The 14,244-nt window shown below is 43.6% G+C and overlaps 1 protein-coding gene across 50 annotated transcripts in view, besides 5 other annotated features; it reads right to left on the bottom strand.

Moving 5' to 3' along the window:
* Positions 1–12,416, bottom strand: part of BIRC6 (baculoviral IAP repeat containing 6) — a 261,856-nt gene extending 249,440 nt beyond the window's left edge. For 46 of the 50 annotated variants that reach the window (XM_006712055.4, XM_005264451.5, XM_047445167.1 and 43 more), the window contains exon 1: positions 11,953–12,416. In XM_006712055.4, coding sequence (XP_006712118.1) covers positions 11,953–12,277 — 325 coding nt within the window. In that variant the 5' untranslated portion in view covers positions 12,278–12,416. Of the gene's footprint in view, positions 1–10,497; positions 11,119–11,952 lie in introns of those variants that run through there. The other 4 variants (XM_011533003.3, XM_047445193.1, XM_047445192.1 and 1 more) reach the window with 2 other exon arrangements.
* Positions 8,225–8,423: a silencer, noted in NCBI's record as "fragment chr2:32586084-32586282 (GRCh37/hg19 assembly coordinates)". NCBI's record gives its function as "represses an EF-1alpha promoter that drives an FKBP-Casp9 reporter gene in an ReSE screen in K562 erythroleukemia cells {active_cell/tissue: K562}" and the evidence as "EXISTENCE:reporter gene assay evidence [ECO:0000049][PMID:32094911]".
* Positions 11,206–11,718: an enhancer, noted in NCBI's record as "NANOG-H3K27ac-H3K4me1 hESC enhancer chr2:32582789-32583301 (GRCh37/hg19 assembly coordinates)". NCBI's record gives its function as "activates a minimal SCP1, AML or CMV promoter by ChIP-STARR-seq in primed H9 embryonic stem cells {active_cell/tissue: H9 hESC(primed)}" and the evidence as "EXISTENCE:reporter gene assay evidence [ECO:0000049][PMID:30033119]".
* Positions 11,970–12,199: a silencer, noted in NCBI's record as "silent region_11342". NCBI's record gives its function as "represses an Ori minimal core promoter by ATAC-STARR-seq in GM12878 lymphoblastoid cells {active_cell/tissue: GM12878}" and the evidence as "EXISTENCE:reporter gene assay evidence [ECO:0000049][PMID:35858748]".
* Positions 12,233–12,745: an enhancer, noted in NCBI's record as "NANOG-H3K27ac-H3K4me1 hESC enhancer chr2:32581762-32582274 (GRCh37/hg19 assembly coordinates)". NCBI's record gives its function as "activates a minimal SCP1, AML or CMV promoter by ChIP-STARR-seq in primed H9 embryonic stem cells {active_cell/tissue: H9 hESC(primed)}" and the evidence as "EXISTENCE:reporter gene assay evidence [ECO:0000049][PMID:30033119]".
* Positions 12,360–12,729: a silencer, noted in NCBI's record as "silent region_11341". NCBI's record gives its function as "represses an Ori minimal core promoter by ATAC-STARR-seq in GM12878 lymphoblastoid cells {active_cell/tissue: GM12878}" and the evidence as "EXISTENCE:reporter gene assay evidence [ECO:0000049][PMID:35858748]".

The raw sequence follows: 14,244 nt of genomic DNA, 5'->3' as shown, positions 1-14,244 counted from the left end.
AAAAAAAAAATCAATTGCTACTGCTGCACAAAGGTGCCAATGTGAGAAGCAACTCAGCTACTAATCAATATAATAATCCTACGGTTTGGAACATGTGCCCTTGCGAATTTCTATTTAGAGCTCATATTTGAAATTACTGTTTTCTGTTTAATATAGATGCCAGATATCTCCTGAATGGTAGTCACACAGACATCTTCATCACTCCTTATAGAGCCTACATTTTAAGTCAGCCCAACTCGAATTCCATCCAAATATGAAAATCTATCTAGCTGTTTTTGTCTATTATATAACAGACAAACAGAAATGTCCCCTGGATATCTGTACTGATGCTATCTTGCATCATGCAGATCTTTACTCAAACACCACCTCAAAGAGGCCTTCCCAAGACTACCTAAAAGCACAAATTTAATATACCATCATCCTCATATCAGCTGTAATTTTCCTTATGGCATTAATTACTATAGTATATCAAGAGGTAATTAATGCCATAATGACACAGTGGCTCACACCTGTAATCCCAGCACTTTGGGAGGCCAAGGAGGACAGGTCACTTGAGGTCAGGTGTTCCAGACCAGCCTGGCCAACATGGTGAAACCTTGTCTCTATTAAAAGTACTAAAATTAGCTGGGCATGGTGGTACACACCTGTAATCCCAGCTGCTAAGGAGGCTGATGAAAGAGAATCACTTGAACCCAGGAGGAAGACGTTGAAGTGAGCTGAGATCACACCACTGCACTCCAGCCTGGGAGACAGAGTGAGACTCCGTTTCAAAAGGGGACAGGGGCGGGAAGCTCTCATTTATCCCAGACACACTAAACAAACTTCTCTAAAGTCTAGGGAGTTAGAGAGTTTGAACTCCTGTTTTATTTTTTATTTATTTATTTATTTATTTGGTGTGGGGGACAAAGTCTCGCTATGTCACCTAGGCTGGAGTGCAATGGTGTGATTTCAGCTCACTGCAACCTCTGCCGCCTGGGTTCAAGCGATTCTTCTGCCTCAGCCTCCTGAGTAGCTGGGATTACAGGGGCACACCACCACGCCTGGCTAATTTTTTCTACGTTTAGTAGAGACAAGGTTCCACCATGTTGGCTAGGCTGGTCTCGAATTCCTGACCTTGAGATCCATCCACCTCGGCCTCCCAAAGTGCTGGGATTACAGGCATGAGCCACCATGCCCAGCCAGGGAGTTTGAACTCCTAAACCTAACTGCACATTAGAACCAGCTGGCACACTTCTGAGAAGAAGAAGAAAAAAAAAACAGTATGCCTGGGCTGCACTCCAGGCCACTTAAGTCAGAATACTGGGGCCCAAGCGAGGTATTTTCTTAAAATTTCCCCTGATGATTCTAAATGAACAAAGGTTGAGAACCACTGCCCTGTGCCATCTCCCAGTCTTCTGTCTCTCCTACTTCATAAATCAAAGTAAAAGTACATAAACAAATTATGAAGATTTAAATTCCTGCTGCCCACAATAAATCTTGAAGAAGACATTCCCATCTTCCCCACTCAAAAATTCATTTCCTCTAAAAAGTAAACATAGTATTTACCTCCTCTAAGATGCATCCCTGATTTAACATACTCAAACCTGATGATAATTACTTTTGGGGGGAAGGTGGGGGCAGCAGGGAGACAGTCTCACTCTTCTCGCCCAGACTGGAGTGCAGTGCTGTGATCTAGACTGACTGCAACCTCTATCTCCCGGGTTCCAGCGATTCTCCTGCCTCAGCCTCCCGAGTAGCTGGAATTACAAGTGTACACCACCACACCCAGCTAATTTTTGTATTTTTAGTAGAGACGGGGTTTCACCAAGTTGGCCAGGCTGGTCTCAAACTCCTGAACTGATCTGCCTGTCCTGGCCCCACAAGTGCTGGGATTACACGCGACAGCCATCATGCCCAGCCTAATAATTACTTTTTTTAACAGCGCTGTCCCAGCCACAGACTGTTTTGTTGTTTTTCGTTTTTTTGTTTTTTTTTTGAGATGGTGTTTCACTGTTGTTGCCCTGGCCGGATTGCAATGGTGCAATCTCAGCTCAGTGCAAACCTCTGCCTCCCAGGTTCAAGTGATTCTCCTGCCTCAGCCTCCCGAATAGCTGGGATTACAGGCATGCACCATCACACCCAGCCAATTTTGTATTTTTAGTAGAGACAGGGTTTTACCATGTTGGTCAGGCTGGTCTCGAACTCCGTACCTCAGGTGACCCACCCACCTTGGTCTCCCAAAGTGCTGGGATTACAGGCATGAGCCACCATGCCCAGGCCACAGACTGTTTTATAAAGCAATTACTGTATTCTTTTTATTTGTATCTCTATTATCTCCTGTCTGTATTTCCTTCTTTTTGCAGTTTGTATCTCTATATGATATTCTCTTCTACACCCAAGTTTATCTTAACTTTTTTGTATCCCTTACATTTGAAGTGCTACAGTTCTACAGTATGCAAAAAATTTCTATGTTTAGAAAGGTATTAAAAGCCCCTTTCTCCCCTAGGCTGGAGTGCAGTGGCACAATCACAGCTCACTGCTGCCTGAAGTGCTGGACTCAAGTGATACTCCTGCTTCAGCCTCCCAAGTGGCTGGGCCTACAGGCATGCACCACCACACCCAGCTAATTTTTTTTTTTTTGTAGAGACGGGGTCTCACTATGTTGCCCAGGCTGGTCTCAAACTCCTGGCCTCAGACAATCCTCCCACCTAAGCCTCCCAAAGTGCTGGGATTACAGGCCATTAGCCCATTTTAAAGTTGGTATCTCAGAGAAGTATCTTGCCAAAGGCACCCTTTTCATGAAGCCATCAGCAATACAACACACATATCAGAGAGGTCACTCCTGCTTGCGTCCCCACTGTTCTTACATACTATATTACAGAAATCTATTATTTTTTTAAGTTCTATATATACTTATAGCCAACATTCCTAAGGACAGACTACTAAATGTTTAACAATGTAAGTATAGTTACAACTAGAGATTTTCAGTTTAAAAATAATATCATACATCCACATTTACCTCTGCTCCCTCCCAAGATCCCACTGAAAAGACAGTAAAGGAATAAAGAAGGTATTGAACAAATCCAAAAAGACAAAAAGAACAAGTGAAGAGAAAATAGCAACAAAATTTTTGAAGTTGGAGGGCAAATGGAAAAGCATTAACTAATCTGTTTCCTCTCCTCCCCAAAAATCTTAAAAGCTAAGCCAGCAGGGAAAGAAAGCCCAAAACATTCACGTTGTATTCTTTCTCACATACATAGGTAAAAGAGGTCTAATAATTAAAATTGCTGGCTGGGCATGGTGGCTCATGCCTGTAATCCCAGCACTTTGGGAGACCGAAGCAGGTGGATCACCTGTGGTCAGGAGTCCAAGTCCAGCCTGACCCCATCTCTAGTAAAAAGACGAAAATTACCTGGGCATGGTGGCACGTGCCTGTAATCCCAGCTACTTGGGAGGCTGAGACAGGAGAATCGCTTGAACCCAGGAGGCAGAGTTTACAGTGAGCCAAGACCACATCACTGCACTCCAGCCTGGGCAACAGAGCAAGAATTCATCTCAAAAAATAAATTAAATTAAATTAAATTAAATTAAAAAATAAAATAAATAAATAAAACTGCTTAAAAGCAGTTGTTTTTACAATATTTTCTCAATTAATTAATACTGCAACCAAGCTCCAATCATAATAGGGCCCTAATTTTTTTACCTTAAACTGGGAGTTCTTGTACTTTAAAATATGGGAATCATGGCCAAGGTAGTTCAAATTAACCTTGTTACCTACATAAGGCAGACAAACACTTGTTGAACTGAACTATATAATTTAAGACAACAAAACAAAAAGTAGGACCGGGCACGGTGGCTCACACTTGTAATCCCAGCACTTTGGGAGGCCGAGGCGAGTGGATCACAAGGTCAGGAGTTCGAGACCAGCCTGGCCAACATTGTGAAACCCTGTCTCTACTAAAAATAGAAAAAATTAGCTGGGCGTGCAGGCGCACGCCTGTAATCCCAACTATTCAGGAGGCTGAGGCAGGAGAATCGCTTGAACCTGAGAGGCGGAGGTTGCAGTGAGCTGAGATCGCGCCATTGCACTCCAGCCTGGGCGACAGGGCGACCTCTCAAAAAAAAAAAAAAAGTAACATTTATTGACTGTTTATGGTGAGTCAAGCAGTATTCTGTATGTATCAGTTTATTTAATCTTTACAATAACCCAGTGAGTTAAGTACTAATTATGAAGCACAGAGAGAGGTTAAGCAGTTTGCATAAGGTCACACCTGGAACTTAAATTGTCTGGCTCCAGAGCCAATATTCTATTCTTTCTTAATATCACTAAAGTCAGTCACCAGAAACAGAGCCAAAGTACATATTCATAGCCCAAAAAGAGATTCTGCTAAATTAAGTTTTTATAAAAACTCAAATGCATTCATAAGACATCTTCTAGGGCTATTGAGATCCGAATTCTATATCATGTTTATCTCTCAAAGAATAGTTGAGAGTAGGAATGCCGCATGTACCGAAGTTAGCCAGGAATTAGAACTGTTTTGAATCATTTACAGTTTCCATCACTGGGAGACTGCACATTTTAGCCAAAAAAAATTATTTCTTGAGGACTATGCAGGCACCATGACCTCTCAGAGCAGGCAGCTCTGGGCCTGAAGTTTGATCAAGAAGCTCTTACATCAGGAAAGAAAAAAAAAAAAAAAACACCCGATCTAAACCTCACTGAAGCTACAGTAAAGTACAAAGATCTTCCTCTTATTTATGACCACATACAAATTTCTCAAATCAAAGTCATTATCTGTATTACTGAGGGACTGACTCTAAAAACCCAGTGGAAAAAAAAAAGTCACTATCTATATAGGAAAAGAAAAAAGATACAAAGAAATGTAAAACTGGAGTGTTTGTCTAAGAACACTGAGCAGGGCTGGGCACGGTGGCTCACGCCTGCAATCCCAGCACTTTGGGAGGCCAGGGCGGGCGGATCACGAGGTCAGGAATTCCAGACCAGCCTGACCAACATGGTGAAACTCCATCTCTACTAAAAATAGAAAAAAAATTAGCCAGGCATGGTGGCGCACACCTGTAATCCCAGCTACTCAGGAGGCTGAGGCAGGAGAATCGCTTGAACCCGGGAGGCAGAGACTGCGCCATTGCACTCCAGCCTAGGCAACAGAGCAAGACTCCATCTCAATATGTAAATAAAATAAAATAAAATAAAAACACTGAGCAGGTTTTTTCTTCTTCACTGCAACACAGATCTGGAATTCACTTCGGAAACTGAAGAGACATGACTGTCTCCTACCCATATACTGCCATATCCATTGATTAATACCTGCACACATATACCTTCACTTACATATGTATATATACTACATAAACAAATCTGTATACACACAGAACTAGTAATACAACTATCTTAACTTCATTCTGACATTTAGCCACACCAATACACTAAAAGATATTTATCCAAACACAGATTACTGTATATTTGTTACAAACATTTATATTTCCATCTACATCTGCCTATCCTCTATGTATAAACATTTAGTGAACATTTTTTAAAGTAATCACGAGGAGTGTGGCAATATTGACCAAGCAGCCAAGAGACTCAAAGGAATTAGCATTTGCTGAGCATCCCCTATTTTACATTTGTCATGCACTGTTAGGCACTTTTAACATGTTTGACCACTTAGTCTTCCCCACCATCCTATTAAACATTAATCTTAATTTACAGATGAGGAAGCTGAGGTTCAGGAGGTTTAAGTAGTGAGTTCATAAAAGAACTAAAATTCAAAATTCAGGACTACCTAACATAAAGCGCATGCTCTCTCCACATAATCTCAAAAAAGCTTATAAAAAAGACAAACGGTATAAAATGTACTACACTGGGGAGGGGCATTATTTCAGGAAGTAAGAGAAATCATCACCCCCAGTAATTAAGTAAGAGAACACCTTAACAATATCTTACTCTCACAAAAAAGCAAAATCTAGATGGGTTCTGTAGGATGGTGGAAAGTGGTAAATCACAAAAAAACCTTAGGAAGTTCAAAGTTCAGTTTAAGTCCAAAAACTGAATATAAAAAAAGCTTTAAGTAAAAAAGAAAAAAAAAGCAAGGTTTTCTTGTTTTTGTTTGTTTGTTTGAGACAGAGTCTTGCTCTGTTGCCCAGGCTGGCACAATCACAACTCACTGAAGCCTCAACCTCCCAGGTTCAAGCAATCCTCCCACCTCAGCCTCCCGAGTATCTGGGACTACAGGTGTGCACCACCATGCCCAGCAAATTTTTTTATTTTTTTCTAGAGACAAGGTCTCACTATGTTGCCTAGGCTGGTCTCCAACTACTGGGCTCAAGCGATCCTCCTGCCTCAGCCTCCCAAGGTGCTGGGACCCCAGGCATGAGCCACAGCACCAGGCCAAAAGCAAGGTATTTACAGGGAATTAAAGTAGATAAGACAAACATTTTTGGGGCACTTGTCTGGTAAGTACACTGCTGCAAACACTTTACATGCATAATCACTTAATTCTCACAATTAGTACAATTATCCTCATTTTGCAAATAAGGAAACTGGAACAGAAATATTAAATAATTTAGTCAAGGTGTTTAAAAATTTAGACAGGTGTTTAAAAATTAAAATAATTCTGTGTAATGGGATGAATTTAAAAAAAAAAAAATTTTTAAGACACTGGGATCTTAACCCAAGCTATCTGTGTCCAGAACCAAGCTCCTTTCTAACTATTATGCTAAATTTCATGAACAAACAATAGCTAGGGTGAAGGACATATCTAGTAATATGAACAGTATGGTCAAGTGGTGTGTAGCTTTTTTATTTTTAAAACCCAAAGTCAGGCTGGGTGAGGTGGCTCATGCCTGCAATCCCAGCACTTTGGGAGGCCGAGGCAGGCAGATCATGAGGTCAAGAGATCGAGACCATCCTGGCTAACATGGTAAAACCCCATCTCTACTAAAAATACAAAAAAAAATTAGCCGGGTCTGGTGGGGGGCACCTGTAGTCCCAGCTAGTTGGGAGGCTGAGGGAGGAAAATGGTGTGAACCTGGTAGGCGGAGCTTGCAGTGAGCCGAGATCACACCACTGCACTCCAGCCTGGGCGACAGAGCGAGACTCTGTCTCAAAAAAAAAAAAAAACAAAGTCAGCAAATAAACATATAAAAAGAGACAAATAAGCATATGAAAAGATGCTCAACATCATGTCATTAGGAAATTACAATTTTAAAAAAGGAGATACCACTACACAACTACTAAAACGGCCAAAATATAAAACCCCCAAATGCTGGTGAGGAAGTAGAACATTCATTGCTGATGAGAATACAAAATGGTACACAGCCACTAAGAGTCTGTCAGTTTCTTACAAAAGTAAACATACTCTCACATGCAACCCAGCAATTGAGCTCCTTAGTATTTACCCAAATGATTTGAAAACTTATGTCTACACAAAAACCTGCACACAAATGTTTACAGCAGGTTTATTCATAATTGCCAAAACATGGAAGCCAGCAAGATGTCCTCCGGTATGTGAATGGATAAACTGTGCTACATCCAGACAATGGAATATTATTTAGCGCTAAAAAGGAATGAGCTATCAAGCCATGAAAAGACAAGGAAGAACTGTAAATGCATATAGATAAAGAAGGCAACCTGAAAAGTCTACAAACGGTATAAATACAACTATGACATTCTGAATAAGGCAAAACTATGAAGACAGTAAAAAGATCAGTGGTTGCCAGCAGGGAGAGGGGAGGGAACAGTTGGGGGGAAAAGGAAGGGAAGGATGAATAGGCAGAGCAGGGGATCTTTAGGGTAGTGAAACTATTCTTTATGATAGTACAATGGTGGATACATGTCACTATACATTGTCCAAACCCACAGCCTGTACAACACCAAGAGTAAATCCTAATGTAAACTATGCACTTTGGGAGATGATGATTGTTAGTGCTAAGATCACGGATGGTAACATACCACTCTGGTGCAGAATACTGATGGGTGGGAGGCTGTGTGAGCACAGAGATAGAGGGCATATGGGAACTGTCTGTACTTTCTGCTCAATTTTGTTGTTAACCTAAAACTGCTCTAAAAAAGAAACACATATTTAAACAAAAAAAAAGTCAAGGAATGTGTTTACTTAGCAATTAGTATATAAGGAAGTACTAATATACTCATTGTTATATATGCATCCAATCAAAAATACTCGAGTTTATACTGTATATATTAGGGCTGGGCGCGGTGGCCCAAACCTGTAATCCCAACACTTTGGGAGGCCAAGGTGGGCAGATCACTTGAGGTCAGGAGTTCGAGACCAGCCTGGCCAACATGGTGAAACCCTGTCTCTACTAAAAATAAAAAATAAAAATAAAAAAAATTAGCCAGGTCTGGTGGTGTGTACCTGTAATCCCAGCTATTCAGGAAGGTGAGGCAGGAGGACTGCCTGAGCCAAGGAGGCAGAGGCTACAGTGAGCCGAGATCGCATCACTGCACTCCAGCCTGGGCCACAGAGTGACACTCTGTCAAAGAAACAATAATAATAAATAAATATATACATACACACACACATACACACACACTGTATATTAGGCATCCTGGGGAAGGGATATATAAACAAATAAACAAAGTACCTCCCCACAAGGAGCTTGAAATATGAGACAGACCTCATATATTTACAAAAAGCTAAATAAAATGGAATTTAAACTTAAATAGTTCAAGACGGTTGAAAAAATACCACAAAATACTAACCTGCCAGATTACTAAAATGGACACTAATAGGACCATATGTGCTTAGGGCTTCAGTCATTTCTGGCTAAAGGGATCAGGAAGTTAAGATACGCTCTAGGTCTTGAAAATGACTAAGACTTAGCTAAATGACTGGAGCGAATTGGTGCATTCCAAGAAAGAACAAAACTACTGTAGTTAGGAAAAAGAATTAAATGGACCATTTCACAAAACTTATAAATAAGGAGACAAGACTAGAGAGACTAGTAAAAGCCAGATCACGCAGCTCAGAGCTTCAAAAATCTTCACTCTTAAATACTGACAGGGAGCAAATACTTACCCAGCCTGTGTATATACTGATAGCTCTTAATCCAGTTAAACTGTATTTATAAACATTTTATATCAGATACAGATAATATAAAGACATATACTAGTAGTCATAGTTAAAAATTCACTGTCTTTGCCACTCAATACATATACATACAAGTCCTGTTCCCATCCTTCAACTGCAAATCTACAGGCAACCCATAACCCTATAAACTGAACCCCAGGCGTCCATAAGACCTATTACTGTATCACCTAGTCTTTATCCCCTCAGACACAGATGTCTTTCCTCTGTGGTAGAAAAGAAAGTGGCCCATTGCCCATAAACGGGAAAGAGGGATTATGTTAGGACCATGATCGCTACTGGCATCTTCTCTCTACTCTATTTATAGGGCTGTCACCCTCTATTAATCATTAAAAGCAAACTTACTAAATACCTGCAGATTCTAAGTAAAACATAAAATGCAGCATTCCCTCCTCAATCATCTGAACTGGGGCAAATAGGACCCTATACAACCTCTGATAATTATTATTAATAACAAACTTCTGGCCAGGTGGGACAGCTCATGCCTGTAATACCAGCACTTTGGGAGGCTGAGGTGGGAGGATCATTTGAGGCCGGAAGTTCAAGACCAGCCTGGGCAACACAGCAAAACCCCATCTCTACAAATACGAATAAATTTTACAAATAATAATAAATTTCACTTCTCATATATGAAAATGTTTCAGAATGCATCCATTGTTAACTTCCAAATTTTTTCTGTAATCCTTCATTCCGTTCACTATAAACCCTTCTACATATTTTAATTCACATACTCAATCTTCATGCATGGGGACCTGCAATTGTATCCAATCCCGAACTCTTCTAATCAACAGATGCCCCAACAAAACCTGTTATCCCAAATCAATGCTACATTTTACTTATCTACCTACACCTTCATGTTATACATCTAAAACCCTCCTCTTTAGTAATCTACCACTAAAGTGAATATTGTCTTTCCTTCCATGTACAGGCACATAAATATATGTCCAATTTCCCCAACCAACAAATCCTGACACACATTATTATTCTCAAACATGGCCTCCAGACATAAAAAGCACACCATAAAATTCCTCTTTCTATCCAAAACACTTGAATACTTTTGTTAATGACTTTCTTTAGAAATCCTAGTACATATACCACTTATTCCAAGTTAAAAATCACAAAAATACTACATCCTCAAGATAGAAACATATACTAGAAAGTGTAGACATATATGAAAAGGATAAAATCAAATTAAAGATAACGTTTATGAAGAGGGAGGATTGGAGAAATGCAGTCCAGGAGAGATTCAGCTGAGATTTTAATCCTATTTGTAAAGTTTTATTTCTTAACCTGAGTTGGGGATGCATGGTGTTCACTGTAATTACTCTTCATACCTTTTCATACTTGAAATACTTTTAAATGACTTTTAAAAAGAAAGACATCCAATTACCAATGAGCATCTCCCTCTTACACACAGTGAGAAGCCATTATGTCCAAGTTGCAGTAACTGTTCACTGCTACATCTGGGCCACCCCATCATTTACCTAAGCCAAGAAAAGAAAAAATTACAAACCTACCTCCCAAAACTTTCTCTTAGATATGTTCCAAGTTTATATCCTGAAACTATACATAATCCAATTCTTTCACAACTCTCACATCAACAATAATTAACATGTCTAATTTCACGTTTGCATCCCTAAATTGCCATTTACTCTTACAAATGCCTTATTACTCACATAGTAAACTTTTCCTTGTTCGTCTACGTTAAAATACAAGTGAATTGGTTGACCACATAACTACTTCCACTTGGCTAAACGCAGACAGTTGTATACATTACATCTCTATGCAGGAGTCCGATTCACTCATACACTAACTTTTCAATCTAAACCTACAACATCCAAATTAAGCCACCCATCATTTAACCACAAATGAAATGTCATCTCCGCCAAATCTAACTCAGCCAGGGCCATTCCAAAACCACTCCAGTCCGTCCACTGAGCATACACCTCACGCATCTGAAAGTCCCGTCCCTGGACCAAGGTTTACGCCACCCAGAAGTGCTCTCCTCCAATGGTGAGACTCAGACACACCTTCAAATCCTAATTTTCGGCTCGCTGTGGGAAAACAAGTAGAGACAGCCTGAAGTTACAAACCCAAAGGAATCTATTTCATACACCACAGGTCCTGACTTTCTCGTCACTGGGGCGTAGAAGTTGGAAGCCCCGAGCAAGGGGACCAGGTCTAGTCGTCTTCGGCGTCCGCAGAGTCCTACAGTCGTCGACCAAGCAGTTCAGGCAGCTGGCCCGCCTACTTCCCTCCCCACCCCCACCACGACCCACCCCACCCCCACCCCACCCCCACCCCCACGCTGGGCGCACAGCCCGCGGTCTGTCCCCCGCACTGCGGGACCTGAGAACAGCAGACTGCCGGCTCCTCTCCCACAAGGGAGGGCTTGGTTGCCGGCTCAGACGCTCCCCGCCCCTCGCCTCCGGCCACCAGCCTCTCCGCCCGGGGTCAACCCTTCCAGCCTTTCGCTCTCATCTAACCGGACGCAGGACCGACAGCCTCTCCAGGGCCTACCCGGGCCTCGCTTCCTCCGGTGCCAAGCTCCAAGGTCTCCTCACCTCTCGCGGAGGACCAAGCCAGACCGGACGCTCCAGGCCCGAAAGGCAACTCCCCTCCCACCACTCCCTGACTCGCCGGTCTTTCCTCCCAACTGCAGCCGCTGAAAAAGCCAAGTCCTAAGGTCCCCCTCCATCAGCTTCCGGGCCTCCCTTCACGGCTGGGCCCGAACCCCCAGCCCTGCCCTCTCGCCATCTCGCTTCCCCGAGTCGCGAGGCCGAGCCCCGGGGCTGGACGGCTTCTTTCCCCGGCTTCGCGCCCGCCCGGCGTGCGGAAGACTCACCACTGAGCGCGGAGGCCTGCAGTGTGGCCCCCGAGGTGCCGTCGATGACTTTGATGGTCCCGCGGCTAGTGACGGCCAGGATGGCGTTGAGCGCAGGGTGGTAGGACAGGCTGTGCAGCCCGTCGGCGTCGCAGTGCATGCAGCCGTCCCGCAGCACCAGCCACTCTGAGACCCCGGCCGCCCCCGCCCCCGCCGCCGAGGAGCAGCCGGGGCCCGAGGCCGCCGCAGCCGCAGCCGCCATCTTCCGGCCTGCGCTCAGCACAATCACACTGGGAAGCGGCTCAGTGACAGTCCCGGGAGGTGCAGCACCACCACCAGTCACCATCCGGGGCCAGGGGGCAAGCCGAGCGCGTTAGCCGGAAGTGAAGTCAGGCGCCCGCACGCACGCGGAACGTCGATCGCCCGGCCGGAGGGGCCAAACTCGGAGGGAGGCTGACGGGAGAGGGGGAGAAGCAGGGAGGGAGGCGGGGCCCGGGGCGCGGGCTGGAGGCCGGCGGGTGGAGCATGCGCGGGAGGGCTCGCGCGTGCCACGCGCCGCGGGTCTGGCCAGTTCCGCGTCCGCAGCGTCCCAGTTTCTTCCTGTGAGCCTGGGGAGTGGCGGCTGCCGAGTCCGCCCCGCTCCTCGCGGGGGCAGGGGGAGGGGTTGGCCTCCGTGCATTTCCGCTAGGTGGGGACCCCCGCCCTTGCGACCTGTCCGGTACGCCCGGAGGCCTTTTGCAGCGGTTCCAGCTGCGCCTTGACCGTTCCCGGTACGCACGGTGCAGCTGTTCGGCCGTGGCCGGAAGCGGACCTCTGGGTCTCGGTCACGGCTCTGGTGTGAGAATAAACAATCAGAAGCCTCTCGTTTGGATTGGAAGGAACCGAGCGACCTTCCCAAACCTGTACCTTTTACCACGCCTGCCCTCCCCATTCCCAAGGCTTTCTGTTGAACAGAAGTACCAGATACGAGGTGCTGGAAGCGCATAGTTAAGCTTAGTTTCTCTATCCACATTCCAAACAACCCGAGTTACCGGAATTAATAGGAGTGTGGGTCTGTGTGAGTGTGTGGTGGGGTGTGTTGGAGGTCTAGAAAGGACTAATCAATTTACTAATCATCCCCCCTTGGAGAATTTTTTTAAAACTTTTTATTTTGAAATAGATTACAGTTGAAAATATACTACAGACCTCTGTGGTCTTTCTCTCCAAAAGCCATAACCCCTATCTAACTATGAGAAAACCATTTGACAAACCCAAACTGTAGGACATTATTTTTATAAAATACCTAAACACTACTCAAAGATAGTACAGAGAGATCCAATTTACTCTTTACCCAGTTTCCCCCAATGGTTGCATATTACATAATTCTAGTACAATCTCAAAAGGAGGGATTTGATAGTTGTATGATGTGTGTATAGTTCAATGTCATTTTATCACATGTAGACCTACGCACCATAGTCAAGATGCAGAGTTGTATGTTCTATATGTTTTGTGATCATTAGGTTATTTTGGAAAGAACTAGTTTTCCTTAAAAACCTAATCAAAGATCTGTTGTGAGGATTAAGAATCATTTGTAAAATGTGTAGAAGAGCATCTGACAAGTATATACTACGTGCTCAATAAAAATTATAAAAGTTAATTGCCCTCTCACATTCATGCGAACTTCCTTCAGGAAATCTTCATGGATTACCTGAACTACATCTTAAACTATTAGCCATCAGGCTACATCTGAAACACTTAGAGATTTGACTGTATTCCTCTCTTCTTGGGGGTCCCTAAAATACACTGAAGTTCCTGGGCCTGCCAGAGAGTGACATTCCTTACTCATCTGTGGTTCTTTTTTTTTTTTTTTTTTGGCTTTTTTGTTTGTTTTTGTTTGTTTATTGAGACGGAGTCTCACTCCGTCGCCCAGGCTGGAGTGCAGTGGCGTGATCTCAGCTCACTACAACTTCTGCCTCTTGGATTCAAGCAATTCTCGGCCTCAGCCTCCTGAATAGCTGGGATTACAGGCACCTGCCACCACGCCTGGCTAATTTTTTTTTTTTTTTTTTTTTGTATTTTTAGTAGAGATGGGGTTTCACCATCTTGGCCAGGTTGGTATTGAACTCCTGATCTCGTGATCCACCTGCCTCGGCCTCCCAAAGTGCTGGGATTACAGGTGTGAGCCCCCGCGCCCGGCCACTCAGGCCACTCACCTGTAAGTCTGGGAACAATCAGGCCAGTTTTTCAAACGAAGACTTTATTGGCTCCATAAAGTCAACCATAGCTCCTTAATGCCATCTGGTCATGTTTGAAAATATGACATTCCAGTCAAAA

The sequence above is a fragment of the Homo sapiens genome, chromosome 2 (assembly GCF_000001405.40).
Source record: "Homo sapiens chromosome 2, GRCh38.p14 Primary Assembly".
NCBI classification, from domain to species: domain Eukaryota; kingdom Metazoa; phylum Chordata; class Mammalia; order Primates; family Hominidae; genus Homo; species Homo sapiens.
The sequence above is the reverse complement of the archived record's forward strand: the minus strand, read 5'-3'. Positions and strand labels throughout refer to the sequence as shown.